Consider the following 22,487-nt stretch of genomic DNA (forward strand, 5'->3'; position numbering starts at 1 on the left):
AGAGGCCGTGGTTCACATTATAGTTTATGTGAGTGGAGGCCCTGGGAAAAAGTACTCACGTATATTTTCCTCCTGAGATCGAGTATCAGGTGGCCAAATATTGAGATGATTTTGTAAATTATAAACATTTTTTACTTCGTTTAACTAGCTGTGATAAGATGTAGAACTTTGTAAGTTTCCTTCCCCCAAAAAAATGTGGTAAAAGAATTATTTTCCTGTTAAGTTGATGTGAGTATCAACCGAACATTTTATTTTAGGAAAGATTTGTTCTCTAAAAGCAGTAGGAATATCTTACCAGATTATCAAGTTTAATTTGAAAAATTGACTTTGGGCTGGGCGCGGTGGCTCACGCCTGTAATCCTAGCACTTTAGGAAGCCAAGGCGGGTGGATCATCTGAGGTCAGGAGTTTGAGACCAGCCTGACCAACATGGTGAAACCCCGTCTCTACTAAAAATACAAAATTAGCTGGGGGTGGTGGCCCATGCCTGTAATCCTAGCTACTAGGGAGGCTGAGGCAGGAGAATCGCTAGAACCCCAGAGGTGGAAGTTGCAGTGAGCCGCGATTGTGCCATTGCATTCCAGCCTGGGCAACAAGAGCAAAACTCCATCTCAAAAAAAAGAAAAAGAAAAATTGACTTTGATTCTTGTTTATAATAAGTTCTTTTTTTCTTCCACTTTACCTGTCTCTTAATGATCTCAAAATCATTTAGCCTCAGCAGTGAAATAAAATTTCCTGCAAAACTGTAAAGCTTTCTTCTGTAAAGATAACTCCGGAAGGGGACTTCTGTTTACTTGTAAATTGAGCCAGCTCTTTTTGAAAATCATTTGAGGCCAGGTACAGTCGCTCATGCCTATAATCCCAGTATTCGGGAGGCTGAGGTGAGTGGATCCCTTGAGCCCAGGAGTTTCAGACCAGCCTGGGCAACATGGTGTAAACCCTGTTTACAAAAATTAAAAAATTAGCTGGGTGTGATGGTGCACACCTGTAGTCCCAGATACTTGTGACGCTCAGGTGAGAGGATTGCTTGAGCCAGGAACGTCAAAGCTGCAGTGAACCATGTTAGTGCCGCTACACTCCCAGCCTGGGCAACAGACTGAGACCCTATCTCTAAAGGAAAAAACAAAGAAAGAAACAAAGAAAGTAAATCAATTGAGAAAACTTTCATATGATTATTTCTTAGGTTATGAATTACAGCTAACAATAAAGATTAGTGATTAAATTGACCAATCTCTATAAAAACTTTCAGAATTGCTCTATTTTCTCACCTCTTTTTCACTTTATAAGTATACGTCCTTGAAAACTGCAGTTCCTATTGTTTTTCTTTTGTATGCCCCTTATGTTAGCAAAGGTTTTTTTGTTCTTAGCCAAACATAACAATTTTTTTTTAATCTGAAGACATAAAATATGGCTTTCTATTAAGAAAAACTGTAGAACCAGGTGCAGTGGCTCACGCCTGTCGTCCCAGCACTTTGGGAGGCCGAGGTGGGTGGATCACCTGAAGTCCGGAGTTCAAGACCAGCCTGGCTAACATGGCAAAACCCCATCTCTACCAAAAATATAAAAATTAGCCGAGTGAGGTGGCACGTGCCTGTAATCCCAGCTACTCAGGAGGCTGAGGCAGGAGAATCGCTTGAACCCAGGAAGTGGAAGTTGCAGTGAGCCAAGATGGTGCTGCTGCACTCCAGCCTGGACGACAGAGTGAGACTCCTTCTCAAAAAAAAAAAAAAAAAAAAAAAAGGGGGTCTCCTTTGTTGCCCAGGCTTGTCTCAAACCTCCTGGCTTCAAGTGTTCCTCCCGCCTTGGCCTCCCAAAGTGCTGGGATTACAGGCATGAGCCACTGTGCCTGGCCATAAAATTATTTTTAAATGAGACTTTGGAAGATTCAGAAAACTCAGGTTTTACTATGATTACGTAATTACAGTAACAGGATAATATAGTTGTGTACATTGTGTGCTAAGTGGGCATTTCCCCAGTGTATCCTTTGTTTAAATAGCAAGCTGTGATTCATGCATGACTAGTTACTCCTATTAGCAGAATGATTGCCCATTGAGTAGATATTTATTTGTGCATCTGCTGTGTTTTTGCTAATAAATGAGGACTTGTTGATGGAATAGGTTGACAATGGTATAAGCAGTAATAGAATAATAAAATGTACTATCAGATACACTGAAATATAGAAGGAATAATTTCCTTCTATATTTGTGGTTTGTTGTTTTTGTAGTAACTGTTATAAACAGAACAGTGTTATCATTTGTAGATAATTTTAGTATTAATTGACCTGCTGACTTATTTTAATTTAAATCTCACTGGGAAAACTTACCCTTAGACTGATTCCTAGTGAATTAACAAGAATGTGTTCACTCTAGTTATGTTTTTCTGATACCGCTTTTTAAAAGCTTCATCCTAAAGTAAAAGTACATTTCTTTCTTTTTTTCTTTAATTTTTTTTTTTTTTGAGACAGGGTCTGGCTCTATTGCCCAGGCTGAAGTGCAGTGGCGTGATCTCAGCTCACTGCAACCTCCACCTCCCAGGTTCAAGTGATCCTCCCACCTCAACCTCTCCAGTAGTTAGGACCACAGGTGTGTGCCAACGTGCCTGGCCAATTTTTTGTATTTTTGGTAGAGATGGGGTTTTGCCATGTTGCCCAGCTGGTCTCGAATTCCTGGGCTCAAGTCATCTGCCTGCCTTGCCTCCCAAAGTGCTGGGATTACAAGTGTGAGCCACCACACCCATCCTTTTCTTTAATTTTTAGTGAGAAAAGCACATAGGTCATAATGGTAGGCACTGGGTGCCATTTATATCCATATTTATATTGGAATCTATGGAATTGATATATGCTATGCTCCTAAAAACAAAGCTAAAAAAATTTATAAGAAATTGATTTATTTTGATATGAATATTGTATGTCAAATTAGTATAGATTATTTACATCCATTAGGTTATACTTTCTCTCCTTAAATCTATATTTACCTCAATCAGAAATCTAATTAGGTAGCATAAACAGTGCCTCAGATTTTCTAAACAAAAATATAAATTTTAACTCACTATATTAAAAGTAAGCTAATTAAAAATTTTAAATTATAGTCCTTTGTTACATAATTTAGACATCAGTTTTTACCAACAGTCTCTTTAGTTCTATAGTAAAAATTTTACACATTTCTATTATAAGAATAGAGAGGTGTTGTCATTTAGTAACTACTTTATGTATTTTAATTTTAAAAATAACCCACAAGTTGGAGCTGCTATTAATCCCTATTTTATAAATGAAGAAACCTACATTCAGAGAAGTTAATTAACTTGCCTAAGGTCACATAGCCAGTGAAGTGATGAAGATGAGTTATGAACCCAGGCAGTCGTTTATAATCTGTACTCTTAAACACTAACATTTAACACTTAGCCCTATTAGTCACTTATGTTAGATGTTTAACTTTGATCTAGTGGATCAAACTAGTAGAATATAAAAATCAAATTTGAGGCCAGGCACAGTAGCTCATGCCTGTAATCCTAGCACTTTGAGAGGCGGAGGTGGGAGGATCGCTTAAGCCCAGGAGTTCGAGACCAGCCTGGGCAACGTGGCAAAACCCTTTCTCTACAAAAAATGAAAAATTAGTGGGGCATGGTGGCACGCATCTGTAGCCCCAGTTACTTGGGAGGCTGAGGGAGGAGGATCGCTTGAGTCCAGCAGGTTGAGGTTGCAATGAGCTGAAATTGTACCACTGCACTCCATGAAAAGTAGAAATTAAAACTTCATCTTCTTAGCTATTTATCAGTATTAACTTAAAAGAGGATGTTAACATGTTCTTTGTAATAATTTAGTGGCTTTTTTGTGTAGGTGGTAAAATATCAGCTATCCAGAATTGTCTCTGGCTTTCATAATACTGTTACTCTAGGAATTGTCACTTTAATCAAAATCACAGGGTAGAAGTGGAGAAGTTGAAAGGCCTTATCCAGATTAAGAAGAGAAGGAGGAGTGAGTTACAGAATTCTCTCCCAGAAGGCGATATCAGATAAATCTAGAATGAATTTGACTGTGTGTAAATGTCAGTGAGTTGAGTATGATGTTTATGCTCTCCCTCTCACCCGGCCTCTGACAGAGTGACTTCTTCTTTTCTCTGTATTTCCAGGGTATTTTGTGTGTATCTCTATAATATGGTGCTATAATTATACCTTTATGTATTTATTTGCCCAACTAGACTGTGGATCATTAAGGCCTGTAAGCCGCAGTGCCTGACATTTAATAAATACTTGATAAGTCTTTGTTAAATACATGAATGACTGTAATTATATTCTTCCCTTCATTGGTTGTATTATATAACATTTACTACTCCCTTCTTTCTTCCTTTTTTCATTTTCTCTTTTTGTAAATTTTCCCTTCTTCCCAGTTTTTTTTTTAAATTTTCATGTCAGTCCTATCCTTTTTCAGTCCCATCCCACCATCCCTTTTTTCCTTATTTAATGCATTATCTCCCTCTTCTGCTCTTATGGAGATTTTCTGAATTAGCCAGGTTTTGAGGATGGGGTTGGCAGAGTATGAGAGTAATGATAGTCTGTCTCATGTCAGTTATAAAGAAATTTGTCCTAGGCTACCAGTTTCATAATAGTTCATGATTAGAGATGGATTTAGACTTCCTGATCTTTTGGTGTTATATCCTAAATTATTCTATATTTCTGTCACTTTGAATCCTTTAAGTCCATTCTGCACACTAGAGTTTCTTAAAATATTACAGAAACTGGTGCCAGAGCTTCTTCGTGCATAGATGACTACCATCCTACAGTCCCCCTCTTCCTCACAAAAAGTTTGCTTTATCGGGCGCTTATGGTTGCAAATGGTATAGATTGTCTCTCTGGTTTGTTGGACTCATGGAAAGATTATGAGAGTGGTTAAGAGACTGAGCCATGGAATGAAAGTATATCAGCACCAGAAAATAATGTCTCAAAGCCTGTATGATGTCCCACAGACACCTGGTCTAGCTTCCAAAGCTCCAAGAAAGTACCCGTCATAGGTAGTTGACATCCAGGATTGAGTCATAATGTGACCATTTATCTCCCTGACATAATAAAAATAAATATTTAGAGAAACAGAAGACAGATCCAGCCAAGTCTGAGAAGAGAGTTACAGATTCCCAAGTAGAATATGTCTATGAAATGAATATAACTAGATAATCAGAGCTAGAGATTAGATTCATTTTCTCAAAACTTCTACTTACTCAGAATTTCTTCTTTCAGGAGTCACATTTCCTACTGTATAAGATAGAAAGGGGTCCTTTAGGATGAGGATTAAGGCTTCCTTCATCCCATCTTCACTTCACACAGCGCTTATCAAGACAATCTGCACAATTTGAGCCTATTTCTGGTAATTGCATTGGTACCTACTTCCCTTCTCTGCAATGCCAAGATTTCCCTTTGTAGTGATAAACAGGCTTCCACAGAATATGTTAGGAAGAGTCTGTGTCGGTCTTCTGTAAAATGGGGATATGAATAGTTCCTAGCTCATGGAATTGTTATGAAGATGAGTTAATGCTTGCATAAAGCCTTGAGGAAAATACACTGCATGAGTTACTGCCCAATACATTTAATACATTTATCATGTGTTCAGAACAGTGGGAAGAGGGCTGATTTTTGTGGTATAATTTCAAGATGTACACAGTCATTACCATGTCATTAGTGAAAAGAAAGTGGCTTTGGTTAGATAATGAGGCATGCCTCAGATGGAGTACCATCCTTTCCTACTTATCCTCTGTAAGCAAAGAAGAGTTTTGTATTCAGTTAGCTAAGATGGAGAACAGTCTAGAAATTATAGCACTTGCCTCTCCAGCAAAACTTCCTAACTTTAGAGCCTCTCAGTGCTTCTATCTTTTGCTGCTCTGTGCTTTCAAATTCAACTCTTCCCACCTCTTTGCTTTCTATTTTCTTTTCTTTTTCTTTTTTTTTTTTTTTTTTTGATAACATGGGTGAATTTCTTTTTTTTATATATACTTTAAGTTCTGGGGTACATGTGCAGAACATGCAGGTTTGTTACATAGGTATACATGTGCCATGGTGGTTTGCAGCACCCATCAACCCATCATCTACATTAGGTATTTCTCCTAATGTTATCCCTCCCCCTGCCCCCCACCCCCCAACATGCCCCAGTGTGTGATGTTCCCCTCCCCATGTCCATATGTTCTCTTTGCTAAACTCCCACTTATGAGTGAGAACATGCGGTGTTTGGTTTTGTGTTTGTGTGTTAGTTTGCTGAGAATGATGCTTTCCAGCTTCATCCATGTCCCTGCAAAGGACATGAACTCATCCTTTTTTATGGCTGCATAGTATTCCATGGTGTATATGTGCCATATTTTCTTTATCCAGTCTATCATTGTTGGGCGTTTGGGTTGGTTCCAAATCTTTGCTATTGTGAACAGTGCCACAGTAAACATACATGTGCATGTGTCTTTATAGTAGCATGATTTATAATCCTTTGGGTGTATACCCAGTAATGGGATTGCTGGTTCAAATGGTATTTCTGGTTCTAGATCCTTGAGGAATCGCCACACTGTATTCCACAATGGTTGAACTAATTTATACTCCCACCAACAGTGTAAAAGCATTAGTGTTTCTCCACATCCTCTCCAGCATCTGTTGTTTCCTGAGTTTTTAATGATTGCCATTCTAACTGGTGTGAGATGGTATCTCATTGTGGTTTGATTTGCATTTCACTAATGACCAGTAATGATGAGCATTCTTTCATAAGTGTGTTGGCTGCATAAATGTCTTCTTTTGAGAAATGTCTGTTCATATCCTTCACCCACTTTTTGATGGTTTTTTTTTCTTGTAAATTTGTTTAAGTTCTTTGTAGATTCTGGATATTAGCCCTTCATCAGATGGATAGATTGCAAAAGTTTTCTCCCATTCTATAGGTTGCCTGTTCACTCTGCTGATAGCTTCTTTTGCTGTGCAGAAGCTCTTTAATTTAATTAGATCCCATTTGTCAATTTTGGCTTTTGTTGCCATTGCTTTTGGTGTTTCAGTCATGAAGTCTTTGCTCATGCCTATGTCTTGAATGGTATTGCCTAGATTTTCTTCTAGAGTTTTTATGGTTTTAGGTCTTATGTTTAAATCTTTAATCCATCTTGAGTTAATTTTTGTGTAAGGTGTAAGGAAGGGATCCAGTTTCAGCTTTCTGCATAGGCTACCCAGTTTTTCCAACACCATTTATTAAATAGGGAATCCTTTCCCCATTGCCTGTTTTTGTCAGGTTCATCAAAGATCAAATGGTTGTGGACGGTGTGGTGTTATTTCTGAGGCCTCTGTTCTGTTCCAATACATGCTGTTTTGGTTACTGTAGCCTTGTAGTATAGTTTGAAGTCAGGTAGCATGATGCCTCCAGCTTTGTTCTTTTTGCTTAGGATTGTCTTGGCTATGTGGGCTCTTTTTTGGTTCCATACGAAGTTTGAAGTAGTTTTTTACAATTCTGTGAAGAAAATCAATGGCAGTTTGATAGGGATAGCATTGAATCTATAAATTACTTTGGGCAGTATGGCATTTTCACAATATTGATTCTTCCTATCCATGAGCATGAGTGTTTTCCCATTTGTTTGTATCCTCTCTTATTTCCTTGAGCAGTGGTTCGTAGTTCTCTTTGAAGAGGTCCTTCACATCCCTTGTAAGTTGTATTCCTAGGTATTTTATTCTCTTTGTAGCAATTGTGAATGGGAGTTCACTCATGATTTGGCTCTCTGTTTGTCTGTTATTGGAAGCACTAAACATGGAAAGAAACAACTGGTACCAGCCACTGCAAAAACATACCAAAATGTAAAGACCATCGACAATTATGAAGAAACTGCATCAATTAATGGGCAAAATAACTAGGTAGTGTCATAATGACAGCATCAAATTCACACATAACAATATTAACCTTAAATGTGAACAGGCTAAATGCCCTAATTAAAAGACATAGACTGGCAAATTGGATAAAGAGTCAAGACCCATTGGTGTGCTGTTTTCAAGAGACCCATCTCACATGCAAAGACACACATAGGCTCAAAATAAAGGGCTGGAAGAAGATTTACCAAGCAAATGTAAAGCAAAAAAAAACACAAAAAAAACAGGGGTTGCAATCCTAGTCTCTGATAAAACAGACTTCAGACCAACAAAGATCAAAAGAGACAAGGGCATTACATAATGGTAAAGGGGTGAATTTATTTCTTAAGATTTGAGTGCAAACTTAAAAACAAGAACAAAGCTTTTCATCAAGAATAAACACAAAAGCTAAACAATTCTTCAGGCGTGCATTTCAACAGAAAGTACAAATATGAATACATTATAATTTTTAACTGCATTTAAAAATTAAAATATTTCTCTCCAAATCCAAAACAGTACAGTCTTTAATCTGTTCTCATCTTTTTTAGATGAATTATAAACATTTGTCATATGCTATCTGGAAAATATAGACAAGAATTACTAATCAGTTCTTTATGATCAAAGAAACATTATTCTCCTTAACTGTGAGTTTTTGAATCATTTATCTGTATTTCAGTTCAGAAATACCATATAATTACACCTCCACTCTAGACAAAAAAAGAATACAAATATCAAGGAGTAGGAACGTTCATAGAATTAAAGCAGAAGTCACAAGTGTTTGACTTAGAAATGTACATATTGTAATAATTTTTTTTTTTTTTGAGATGGAGCCTTGCTCTGTCCCCAGGCTGGAGTGCAGTGGCATGATCTCGGCTCAGTGCAACCTCTGCCTCCCAGGTTCAAGCAATTCTCTTGTCTCAGCCTCCCAAGTAGCTGGGACTACAGGTGGCCACTACCATGCCCGGCTAATTTTTTGTATTTTAATAGAGATGGTTTCACCATGTTGGCCAGGCTGGTCTCGAACTCCTGACCTCATGATCCACCCACCTTGGCCTCCCAAAGTGCTGGGATTACAGGTGTGAGTCACCACACCCAGCCCTGTAATAAATTTTTAAAGTACAACTTTAGTTAATGGCTGACATGTATGTAATAATTGTGAACAATTTAGGTATAAAAATGTGAGATCAAAATCTTTAGGCTCAAATACTTGAAAAGTCAGTATGAATATGGAAAGATTTGTTTACATAAACGTGTATATTTTTAGATGAAAAATCAGGGGGTAGTGGCATCTCCCTGATCCCTTAACAATATTTGGATTTTTGCAAAGAATTAGCAGCATCCATGCTGTTTTCTAACTATAGTTATTCCTGCTTTTTTTCCTCCTTTACTTCCTTTCTTAGTTATCCATTCAGCTCATTCCTTTCACTGCTAATTCTCAACCTAGCCACTGTTGCCAGGTCTCTGTATTTATGATTGGTTCTTTGGTTTCCATTTTATCAACTAAAGTAATCATGCTGAATGGTCAGACATGAAATGGAGACATTTAATACGACTTTTCTTGTTTCTGTGTTTTCTGATTTTTTTTTTCTTTCAGTTTCGAGTATTTACAGCCCCCTTCCATAAGGTAGGCTTTGCTGATTTCTGGCTGGCGGATCAGCTGAACAGCCTGTCAGTGATACTGATGGACCTGGAATATATGATCTGCTTCTACAGTTTGGAGCTCAAATGGGATGAAAGTAAGGGCCTGTTGCCAAATAATTCAGAAGGTAGGGTATGAATTTGCATCTATACTACTAAATCGCTGGTGTAAACCAAGATATATTGGGAAGGATAAATGAGAAAGTTAAGGTCATGATGAAAACTTACCCAATAATATTATAAACTTAATTTAATGTACTTGGCATTCTGTTAGCAGTCTCCTTATCTGATATAATTTGGCTTTTAAATTATGCATTAGGATTTCGTCTGTCCATTTGCCAAGATATTTACAACTTACACTTAAAGAATTCTAAAACTTTCTTCTAGCACATTGGTAGTTATATTGCAAGTGCTTTCATGCCAGCAATTTGTTGTCTCACTATTGCTGTATAATGTAACATATATACCAGTGATCAGAAATACTAATTATTTAGAAATAGATCAAGTGCTTTGAGAGTAACTACAGATTGCTTTTTAATTCTTACTTGGGATGTTATTTTTCTTCTGGCCGTTTTCGCACCCCCCCCTTAGTTTATGCCAGCAGTTCAAGTTATTAAGGAATTTTGCCTTCATGACAAAGATCTCATTGAGATAGAATATGTAACATGTGACTAACGAAAGTTGATGAAGCCGATGCTGACACATTCTTATTGATTGCCAGTGGATCACAGTTCTGTTGTAGGTTGATCACACTCAATTCTGAATTTCAGAATTCAAGGAAAAGTTGATTTACCAACTCCATTCTTATTTAAACACACAGTTTGTTCTTGGTTTAAAAAAAGAGGGGAGGTGGGTGTACAAGAGAATGTGCTCTTGGGTGTCTTGTGTTGTGGTGGTTTGGAATTCACAAAATTGTCTAGAATCACTGGTGATACTTGTAGGTTTTCCAGATGTTTCAAATTACAGAGCCAACCCGTTTTTTCCTCCTTCTATTAGTATACTCATCTTCTAATTTTCTTACAGTTTTATCACACTCCAAAGAAAGTGATTCCTGGACAGATATCCATAAATCTGAGAGAGCAAATTTCCCCACTAGTTCCCCCACAACATATTTTACCTTCTCTCCTTGACTTATCTATCACTAAAAAGCTTGAGAATAGACTGGGCGCAGTGGCTCACACCTGTAATCCTAGCAGTGTAGGAGGCTGAGGTGGGCAGATAACTTGAGGTCAGAAGTTTGAGAACAGCCTGGGCAACATGGTGAAACCCCATGTCTACTAAAAATACAAAATTAGCTGGGTGTGGTGGTATGCACCTGTAATCCCAGCTACTCAAAAGGCTGAGATGAGAGAATCCCTGGAACCGGGAGGCAGAGGTTGCAGTGAGCTGAGATTGTGCCACTGCACTCCAGCCTGGACCACAGAGCGAGACTCAGTCTCAAAAAAAAAAAAGAAAATCTTGAGAATATAATAGTTGCAAAGAAGAAAGTGATTCTGAAGGTTTTTTGCTTTTTTAGACTTGGTATTAGCTACACTATATGGCTAAATGATGTGAACAAGTTACTTTTTTTCAATGGTAATTTTTCTTCTTTGAAATCTTCACAGAATCAGGAATTTGCCACAAATATACATATGGTGTGCGGGCCATTGTTCAGTGCATTCCTGCTTGGCTTCGCTTCATCCAGTGCCTGCGCCGATATCGAGACACAAAAAGGGCCTTTCCTCATTTAGTTAATGCTGGCAAATACTCCACAACTTTCTTCATGGTGACGTTTGCAGCCCTTTACAGCACTCACAAAGGTATTCTGTGATTGACTCTGAAGAGATTTTTTTAAACCTGGATTTTTACTACCTGACTCTATTTCTTACTCTGGCTACTTTTCCATTTGTCATGCTCTTTTTTTTCCACTGAAATTTCAGTTCCTTCAGTTATATCAGTTTGTTCTTGAATGCAGTTTTAGTCTCATTCCAGTATCTACTGATAAAGTACCATTGAAAAGAAGCACAGTCACCCAGAATAATAATTTGTGATAATGTTTAAAATTCTGAATTATGTTTAATGGGTTCAATCTATGGATATCTTGGGTTTCCATTTGTTTTTAGACTTCCTTGTTCATTAATGAGGTTGGGAAATGTCTTGGTGAAAAAAAATTCCCTGTGGCAATCAAGTATATTTTTAATCGCTTTCCTTCACCAAGTAGTAAGAATTGTTTCCAGCCCATTTAACTGCAAATTGAGTTCTCTGATTCCTCTAGTTTCTCATCTCCATGGCAACGTATTATTACTTGAGACTGCTCTTCTGTTGAGAAGAGAAAAGGCTTTTAAGTTCTGAGCCACATGCAGCCACTCCTTTTGAATTTTTAACCTTTTTCCAAGAACTGTCAGTCAACAATCTCACTTCCTTTTAGTAAAATGCGTTCCATCTTTGTCTTTTTAAGTCAACATCAACCAACACCTTAGATGCTGCACTTTTTCATCTGTAGGTTGTAAAGAGATGTTACTAATTGAAATTAATAGTTATTTTTAAATACTTTGCAAAATTTTTTTTCAGTGATTTTTTTTTCTTAATTGAGAGACTATATTTTAGGAGCTTTGGCCAGTGCTACAAAATTGCTGTCAATCTAAAGTGTGTCTAACGGTCATAAAAGATCAGAACATTGCTTCAATAAACCTTGAGATTTGATGCAGCAGATGATATTTATAATATAATTCCACTTTTTGCAGTAGATTCTGTGGTTGGAGTAGGATTGATAAATGTAGCCAATAATTTTACCACCATGTAGGCATTCTTGTTAAATGATATAATTTAAGTATGTCAGTGAAGGAAACACATCCCCAAAGTTCCCATAATTTTAACTCATACTGTGGAATGCTGTTGTTAAGTCCAGGCATATATCATAATTCAGGAGGTTGTTACTAGAGAATTTATAAATTGGGCAACTGATTTAATACATGGTATTTATGACTCCATTTACTAAGTTATAAAGAACCCTTTACTTTTCTTCCATCCCAGGTAAAAATGAGTACTGTTTTTTGGTCGAATATTTTAGAACATAATATACCTTTAACTGCAGTTGACGCCTGAACAGCTTGGAGATTAGGGGCACCAACCTCTCACACAGTTGAAAATCCACAGATAACTTTTAACTCCCAAAAGCACTACTAATAGTTACCATTGCCTGGAAGCCGTACTGATAAAGTAAATGGTCTATTAACACATATTTGGTATGTCATGTGTATTATATATACTGTACTCTTATAATCAAGTAAGCTAGAGAAAATAAAATCTTATTAAGAACATCATAAGGAAGAGAAAATATCTTTCCTGTTCATTAAGTGGAAGTGGATTATCATGAAGGTCATCTATGTCATCTTCACATTGTGTAGGCTGAGGAGGAGGAGGAAGAGGAGGGGTTGGTCTTGCTATTTCATGGGTAGCAGAGGCAGAAGAAAATTCATATGTTAAGCGGACCTATGAAGTTCAAACCCATATTGTTCAAGGGTCAACTGTATACTGATAGCATTCAGTAAAAAGCTGAAAATCCAAATTCCTCAAATCTGTGAACAGTCCAAATCTAAAACAAATCTAAAACAAATCTAAACTAAAAAAGTAACAGTTTAGATAGTATTGTGGGCTTAAGACATTTCTTACTGACATACTTCTTGAAAGAATTTTATAAACCGTATTACCTTTCGGACATTTTTAAGTTTACAACTGAAATTTTTCATCTTAAGTTTAAATAATTACAAAAGATACCGTTTCAGTGTATTTTAAATGTTCACATTTTAAAATAAAACTGCTAAATATTTCTATTGTGCAATAGTCAGAAAATTTCCATCTCTTTGCTGTTGAACTATAATGTATCTTTATTTTAATGTAATATATTTTTGTTTTAATGACTTGTCTGCTACATAAACATGTAAATTGAAATTAAATTATTTCTGTCACTAAGAGATTAATTTGTTTTCTGTTCTGGGTTGTAATTACTATTACCCTGATTATTACCTACAGTTGATCAAAGCAACATTACAAATGTATTACACATTTAATTTTTATAAGTAATTGTTGCAGATAAACATTTCTTAATGAGATAAATTTATGTTATTACTATTTCCTTTTTCAGTTTTTATATAAGTAAACTCAGAAATCTTGTGGCTATGCAGATGAGAATAGGAGTTTCGTTGTTGCAGTATCCCACAGTTTTATGAGTTCAGTGAGTTATTTATGGGTTATTTACCCAATTCTGAGTTATTTGTTCAAAAAATTGTATAGTGATCTGTCATCAATAAATATTTTTAGTAATGAAATTTTCTTGGTTGAAAGCAAAGAGTTGAAAATAAATAAAGCAAATAATTGAACATGAACTGAATGAAAAAGGATTTGATAACCAGCCATTGGAGTCATTAACTTTCTAACCTAGACAGTAGACCATCGTATGATTATTAATTTTAGAAGCTCTTTGTCTAATGCAACATATGCAAATAATTGTTAGGAAAATAAAAATATTGTTAATTTCAGTACACATTTACCAGTGCAATATTTTATGATGAAATAATTTTATCATATTCTTTAAATGTGCTTTTGCAAAAAATCTGGAACTTCAGATTACACTCATCTGAGCTATGGAAAATATCTGCAATATACCTGTAGGTGAGGAAAAACTTACTCCTCTACCCTCTTAAGTAATTGGGGCCTGCAAATGAAATTGACAACAGATAGATTAATAAAAGAAACGGTTTGTTATGTACACAGAGGTCTTCATAGAAAGGAAGACCCAAAAGAAGTGTTTAGACTAGGGGTTGGAGGGGGGCTTATATACCATTTTTACAAAGAATGATAAATTGTGAAAAAGTAAGTTTAGACAAAAGTAGGGGATTGGGCTTCTGGATGGTAAATTGTGAAAAGGTAAATATATGGAGATTCTAATGAAAGAAAAGGATTATTTAGTAAGGTTTGTTATGCATACCAAAGTTGGTGTCTTCTCCATTGATAAGCGTCATCTCTGGTAAAGAAGTGTTGCCCTCGGCCGGGCGCGGTGGCTCACGCCTGTAATCCCAGCACTTTGGGAGGCCGAGGCGGGTGGATCATGAGGTCAGGAGATCGAGACCATCCTGGCTAACAAGGTGAAACCCCGTCTCTACTAAAAATACAAAAAATTAGCCGGGAGCGGTGGCGGGCGCCTGTAGTCCCAGCTACTCGGGAGGCTGAGGCAGGAGAATGGCGTGAACCCGGGAAGCGGAGCTTGCAGTGAGCCGAGATTGCGCCACTGCAGTCCGCAGTCCGGCCTGGGCGACAGAGCGAGACTCTGTCTCAAAAAAAAAAAAAAAAAAAAAGAAGTGTTGCCCTCCTCTTCCTAGTATGGGAGTGACAGCGTCACCTTTAGAAATGGAAATTTATATTACATTTACAAAAGGAATTTATGCCCTGCTTTTAGACAAAAAGAGGGAGGGCAGATATATTTCCCTTCATCTGAGGGTTTCTTAGTTACCTTCAGCTCAAAATAATCCTTATGCCAAAGTTACATATTTGGGGTGGCATACTCTGATCCTCTTCATACCCTAATTGGGAAATCAGTCAGACAAGTGGAAAAAATTTTGACTTCAGGTTAACATATTTGTGTGTGTGTGTGTGTGTGTGTGTGTGTGTGTGTATATATATATATATATATATATAAACTGGACAAAATTTTTTGCCCACAGTAAAAGTTTTTTAAAAACCAGAAACAAAAATATTTTTTAGATGGACCGTTGGTTATATATCTTAATCATATTGCTAAAATAAAAAAAACCTTATAGTTACATGTTAAATATTCATATCACTAAAATTTTTAACTAAAAAGCTTAAAACAGAGAGGAAAAAATTGAAATATATATATATGTATATATGTCCATGTGTAAGCACCTCGTTCCTTCATTCTAGTTCTGAGTTAGATGCATGACCAGGTAGATAGGTAGACAGGGAGGCAGAGCAGGCATACATTCAGCAAGTACTTACTAAGAATATTTTATGTAACATGCCGTGCTAAGCACTAAAAAAAATAGCAACAAAGCACAACACAATTCTTGCCCTTAATAATTTATAATCTAGTGGGGGAATAGACAAAGTAAAAAGGCATTAATTGGTTCTTAATAGTATTGTTAAGTGTACTGTTTTAGACATGGCTTAAAATGGTAAATTTTGTTTGTTTTTACCACAGTTTTTTTTTAAAGGCATAAAAATAGAGTATAAAGAGATAAGCAGGGTACCGAAAGAACCCCCAGCACAGGTCTCTAACTCAGTCTCCTAGGCCTCAGAATGGGAGGAAGACTTCTGGAGGTAACATCTAAGCTGTATCCTATTGTTTATATTAAGTTAAGGAGGATTCTAGTTACCCTGTTATGTGCCTTGCTCAAGGACATGTAATTTGTGAGTGGTGGAGGTGTAGTAGTTCTCAGTTCTATTCTTCAGCCTAGGGATTTTTTTTTTTTCCAGACAAAGCGACATCTTTAAAGTGGAGATAATGGTACCTATTCTGTTTGTTTCACAGGTTTGTTTTAAGGAGTAAATAATAGAGTGCACATGAAATCCCCTTAGACTCTTAACATGCTACGTAAAGGGAATTTATGATAAAATGAAATATTTTCTTTGCTGACTAGAGCTGCTATATGTGTGTCTTCCTTTACAGCCTTTTAAAGAGAAACCCTTAATGATTGTCTTGGCCAGGGGACTTGCACAGGGCAAGTATCGATTAGAAATGTGTTTGGCTTTTTGCCCAAGTAACATAGCTACTTACTCACCGAACACTATTCAGTACTCACTGTCAAAGTTTTTTAAAAACCAGAAACAAAAACACTTTTTAGATGGACCATTGGTTATATATCTTAATCATATTGGTAAATAAAAAAAAACTCATAGTTGCTACATGTTAAATATTCATATCACTAAAATTTTTAACCAAAAAGCTTAAAATCGAGGGAAAAAGATTGAAAAGACAACTCAGAGGAACCATTGACAGAAAATTTGACATTGAATATTGATCAGAAGTAGAATTTGTTAAAGAACATGGGAAATGGGAAAAATAAAAACATCAAATAAGTGGAATTTGATTTCTGTTATTTTCTTGGATAATATTCCAAGAGAAAAGGCACTAGAAAACATGGACTTTAGAAATAATCATTAAGCCAAAAGAAAAGATTCAATATGATTAATTGGGTAGATACTTTTCTATGAAATGTATGTGTACTGTTACAAAGGATAAATTTTAGAGGGGCAAGGAGTAAAAGACAGTGAGGTAACCTTGTTTGGATTCAGAGATCTGAGTCTTTTCAAAGAACTAGCCTGCAAGAGTTACCATAGCAACAGCATTATATTAGGGGCATTTTCAAGATTGTTTCAGAGTGTCTCATGTTTTGCTGCATGATTTGTAAAAATTGAGATGTAAGAGTAAACCGTGTGTCTAGAATCATTTTTTGGAAAGTAAGGGAGGAGGTTGGAGGTTTAGGCAGCCCATTTGAGGGAAATTAAGGATGATAATATAAGTGAGCTAGCACTCACTTATATTAAAAAGGAAAACACGTTTGAAATATTTCAGTATATTTTTTCTATCATTGATTTTAGAAACAAAGGAATTTAGCTAGTAGCCAGTCTCCATATTTTAAGAATTCACATTTCATTACATGGCTAAATTTGAAGGCAATTCCTACAAGTGTTTTGTTGGAATTGGGATTGGAGGAGGCACAAACGTGTTTTAAATGGTTTTTGTGTGTCCTTGAGGTTTCTTGGCTTTGGCAAAGAAAAGCCTGTGGGAGGTACAATAATAGAAAAGGCCATTATGTTGTTCTTTCTAAGTGGTTGTTGAGGGAAAGCATTTCATTAGATTTTCTATTTTTCATTTACAGTTTCTAACATTCTAAAATATTTGTAAATTTTTAGTGATTTAGTTAGCTCTTTGTTACTCTTTGATTTTGTATTTTACTTTAGACTTTTTGTTAGTGTTTGCTAAAAAGCATTTGCTACTAGACTTTATAAAATACTTGGAACAAAGAGGTATTCTCGGCACAATTAAGAGTTCATTTATGTCTGTGTGGTTGTTTTCCAATGCCCAGATCTTTCTAGATCCCTTCTTGTTTAACGTTCTCTAAGGGCTGCTGTGCGCCCTAATGAGGATTCCTCAGTAGGAGCTCAGGGCCTTCAGCGCCTATCATTGTTTGAGTGAGCACACATAGTCCTGAAGTGCTTCCTCCCTGGGGTATGACCAGTTTATTACCCTCTGTCTACCCTGAGTAATAGACTGTTATGCCAAAATGTCCACATTTTAGTCTTCTTATGCTATAATAGAAACACTAATTGTTTTTCATTCTCTAGGGAAATTTTTGTTTCATTAACTTTAAAAAAAAAAAGATATACACACATTTTTAAAAACTGATTTGGATAAATGCTCTCATTCTTGGCTTACTATTAAAGTAGCTCAAATTTTTAACTCTTTCAAAATTGATATATTTCTGCTGTAATTTCCTAGCCTAACTAATAATGCAGAAAATAAGCAAATTATTTGGGAATTTATCTTGGCAATATTTGCTTAAGAACTGACGATGCCGTAAAGCCAAATATGAGACTTTTTTCCTGATTATTAATTTTACTTTAATTCAACAAATATTTCTTGAGTGGTTTTTATCTACTTGGCATTGTTATTTTTAAATGGTTTTATAATTATATCCCATCTTAAATTGCTTTTAAAATATTAATTATAGCTTTGAATAAATTTCCTTTGCATCTTCTTTGTTACTTAAAGAAAAGTCTTTAAAAAAAAAAAAAAGAACACATATGCTTACACCCAATACCATTTTGGTAGTCTTATCTCTAGTCACCTTTGTTTTCTTAATTGCTCTTAAAACTGATAGATGTAATTGGCATTTCTACATAAATTATGTTGCATTTGTAACACTCGTGTACAAAAGTTTAAAGTTTAAAAAGTCTCTACTATTTTATTGCTTAGAAATTGAGAGAGGATCTGTGGTGTTTAAAAGAAATAGTTGACCGGGCACAGTAGCTCACACCTGTAATCCCAGCACTTTGGGAGGCTGAGGCAGGTGGATCACCAGGTCAGGAGTTCGAGACCAGCCTGGCCATCATGGTGAAACCCCATCTCTACTAAAAATACAAAAATGAGTTGAGTGTGGTGGCAGGCGCCTGTAATCCCAGCTACTCGGGAGGCTGAGGCAGGAGAATCATTTGAACCTGGGAGGCGGAGGTTGCAGTGAGCCGAGATTACACCATTGCACTCCAGCCTGGGCGACAGGGCAAGACTCCGTCTAAGAAAAAAAGAAATGGTTGAAAATTTTTTATACAGGAGTTTGTCTAATTGAAGAGAAATTTGAAGACCAATTGCTTGAAAGTTGAATTTTTAATTTTCATTTTAATTTACATACTTTATATTATACATAATTTTACATGAGAAAGCTATGGTGAAAAGTATAAACATCAGAAAATGTCATATCTAGGTATTTACAGCAAAAAGAAAAGAAAGAGAAAAAAATGAGCAGGCAAATGTACTTACAGACCTTGAGTTCCTGCTAAGTATATGGTACTCTAAGGAACATAATAAATTGTATGTGACTCTCTTTCCCTTAGAGTTTTATAATATAATACAGTAAGTGTACTCATCGACTATTAACAGCATAATAAACCAACCCAAAACTCAGTAGCTTAAAAACAGCTTTAATCCATTCTTGCTTATGCATCTGTAGGTCAGCTGGGAATTGACTGGACTAGGCTGGGCTCGGCTGGATAGCCTTCAGGCTGCTATTCTGGCAGGGTTTGGCTCCTCACTGCAGGTTGGGTTTGGGTCTATTTCATGTGTGTTCATTCTGGCGCTTCAATTGAAAGAGCAGCCACTTAGCCAGGGGAAACTTCACATGGCACTGACAGAAACAAGACCTATTACACAAATTTTAAGCCTCTGCTTGCTTCATATCTGCTATCCTCCAAAGGCCATTGCAACTGCTAGGCCAAAGCAAGTCACCAAACCCTACATTAATGGGGCAAGAAAGTATACTTCTGCCATGGAAACAGGGATGGGCTGAAAGGGAGAGAAGAGTTTTAAAATGTAATCTAATCTACTGTGATACAGAAAACAATTTAAACTGATTTGTCTAAAGTGGCAAAGGACTTAAAACAGTTAATTTTGTAGAATAAACATAACTAATAAACATGAAAAATTTTCCACTTTGGTAATAAAAACAGAAATATAAATTAAAATAATATTTAATCAAAGAAGTGATGATGCCTATCACTGGCAAGGGTACGGAGAGATGAAAACTCATTCTGTTGGTAGAGTATAAATTTGTAAGCAATTTGGGAATTCTCTCGAATCTTAAAATCATTCATACCTTTTGACCTAGTAAGTACCTTTCCACAACTTTTTCCTAAATAGAGAATTGGGCAAAAATGAATGTATCTTTGTAACATTATATAGTAAAAAACTGAAATAATCTAACAAATGTTCAGCAATAGGAGAATAGCTTACTTACAGTAACTGCATAGTATATGAAATATTATACAGTGGCTTGTTAAAAGTCACACAGTGGACCTGCAAATAGTAGATGAAGAATAATGACTGTGTGTGTGTGTGTCTGTTTTCACAGATGGTCTTGCTCTGTCACCCAGGCTGGAGTGCAGTGAGTAGCTTGGTCATATCTCACTGTAGCCTCAAACTCCTAGGCTCATGGGATCCTCCCACCTCAGCCTCCTGAGTAGCTGGGACTACAGGGTCGTGCTACCATGCCCAGCTAATTTTTATTATTGTTTTTAGATACAGGGTCTCACTACTGTTGCCCAGGCTAGTCTCAAACTCAGTCTTCCAAAGCTGACCTGAGCCTGCTGACACACTTAAATTAAGAGCAATGTGGACTCGGCCAAAATACGAAAATAATTTCTCTCTGCCAGAAAATCGAAAGTCATTCTTGAATTGGAGGGAAACAAAACTAACATATTAATGTTGTTTCAAGTGATGGCAGAATCATTTGACATGATTAATTTGCTTAGTGTTGTATCCTTTTTTAGGTCTTAAGAAATATCAAGGGGGCTGGGCACGGTGGCTCACGCCTGTAATCCTAGCACTTTGGGAGGCCAAGGCAGGCAGATTACCTGAGGTTGGGAGTTCAAGACCAGCCTAGCCAACATGGCAAAACCCTGTCTCTACTAAAAATTATAAAAAATTAGCCAGGTGGAGTGGCATGCACCTGTAATTCCAGCTACTCGGGAGGCCAAGGCAGGAGAATCGCTTGAACCCAGGAGGCGGAGGTTGCAGTGAGCTGAGATCACGCCACTGCGCTCTAGCCTGGGCTACAGAGTGAGACTTCATCTCAAAAAAAAAAAAAAAATGTCAAGGGTAGTTAGGGTAATTTGTTAAAGCTGGCTAGCAATTTTCTCAATTTATATTGTTAATAAATAAGGAATGTTGTGAGCATGCTTTTTAGAATGTAATGAACGAAAGACCAGTGGGCTAATGTTGAATTTCTTGTTTGTTTGTTTTTGTTTTTGTTTATTTATTTATTTTTTTTTTGAGATGGAATCTGGCTGTGTCACCCATCCTGGAGTGCAGTGGCACGATCTCAGCTCACTGCAACCTCTGCCTCCCAGGTTCAAGCAATTCTCCTGCCTCAGCCTCCTGAGTAGCTGGGATTACACACGCCCACCACCACACCCAGCTAATTTTTGTATTATTAGTAGAGATGGGGTTTGACCATGTTGGCCATGCTGGTCTCAAACTCCTGACCTTACCTCAGGTGACCTGCCTGCCTCGGGCTCCCAAAGTGTTGGGATTACAGGTGTGAGCCACGGTGCCTGGCTAATACTTAATTTCATTGATACTTTGGATAGGTATAAGATACGGTTTTCATGAAAATATTCAGAGTGAAGAAACTTTTCGTACACTACACACAATATTTTCTTCACATAGTAAAAAAAAAAAAAAATGATGCCACTTAATAGGAAGGAAAATAAAACATCTACCTAAATATCTCATTGATAAGTAGCATTTGTATTTCTACTTGTTCCTCTCCTGTGGGCTCCTCAGGCCTCTCTCTAAATACTTTTTAGTTGCTTCTGAATAATACCCCAGAACATCTTTCTTTTAAAGGTAGAATTGTACTACTTGTAACTATTTTATCCTTACCAGGAATCTTCTCAAACGAAGTAAATATCTCCCAAAGTAGAATGTTGAAGTCTACACAACACATTTCATAGCTGGTATAGAAAAGACTGAATCACTGAAGAAAATTAGGCAGAAACTCTAAGATCTGTTATATAGTCTTCTCACTTATGAATATTAGACTAATTCTGTTTCCTTTCTCAACTGAAAAAGTTGATATTTGAAATTAATTTTTAAATCTGTCATTAAACTTTCTATTGCAGAAAGTAGTATTTCTTACCTAAAGAGCAAAATACTTAGCTCTTCTCAATTTAATCAACCCTTCTTCCAGTAAGAATTTTAAAAGCACCATCTTAGTGAAAGGCACGTTTTCACATTGAGAACTAGAATGTGGGCTTTGGAGTTAGGACTAGGTTAATTTAGCCACTTACTAATTATGTTACCCTGAGAAAGTGACTAGATTTCTTTGATTTAAAATTAGTAAAATTGAGAGAATAATTCCCACCTCATAAGTTTATTATAAAGATTAAGTTGTGTAAATACACTATAACTGGTGTTAATTGGTATTGATATCCTCTCCACCATCTGTGATGAAAGCGTGAAAAAACTCACATGCAAAATATTAGGGAAGGGATTTTCATTATAGATGTGGAAGAATTTAAAATAATTATGAGTAAATGTCTAGATAAAATGGACCATTTATTTTTAGGAAATTAGAAATTAACAAGATAAATGCAAGAAGGCAGACACTCTAAATTATGGACTAAGAACTATTGCAGGAATAGGGAAAGTTGTCTTTGAAGTGTCAGACCACAGTTTTTTCACAAGTGAAACTTTGTAAAACCTTTCAAACCTTCAAGGAATGGTTTGTGCCATTT

At 36.5% G+C, this 22,487-nt stretch overlaps 1 protein-coding gene across 4 annotated transcripts in view, besides 1 other annotated feature; it reads left to right on the plus strand.

The window, feature by feature from the left end:
• Window positions 1-22,487, plus strand: part of XPR1 (xenotropic and polytropic retrovirus receptor 1) — a 258,258-nt gene that overhangs the window by 193,417 nt on the left and 42,354 nt on the right. Inside the window, exons 10-11 of one of the 4 annotated variants that reach the window (NM_004736.4) lie at window positions 9,436-9,607; window positions 11,084-11,278. The exons of 1 other annotated variant lie outside the window; for it this stretch is intronic. In NM_004736.4, coding sequence (NP_004727.2) covers window positions 9,436-9,607; window positions 11,084-11,278 — 367 coding nt within the window. Of the gene's footprint in view, window positions 1-9,435; window positions 9,608-11,083; window positions 13,433-22,487 lie in introns of those variants that run through there. 2 more of the 4 variants (NM_001328662.2, NM_001135669.2) reach the window with 2 other exon arrangements.
• Window positions 17,591-17,791: a silencer, noted in NCBI's record as "peak489 fragment used in MPRA reporter construct". NCBI's record gives its function as "represses an SCP1 promoter by STARR-seq MPRAs in K562 erythroleukemia cells {active_cell/tissue: K562}" and the evidence as "EXISTENCE:reporter gene assay evidence [ECO:0000049][PMID:32103011]".

This window comes from Homo sapiens, chromosome 1 (assembly GCF_000001405.40).
Source record: "Homo sapiens chromosome 1, GRCh38.p14 Primary Assembly".
In the NCBI taxonomy this organism is placed as follows: domain Eukaryota; kingdom Metazoa; phylum Chordata; class Mammalia; order Primates; family Hominidae; genus Homo; species Homo sapiens.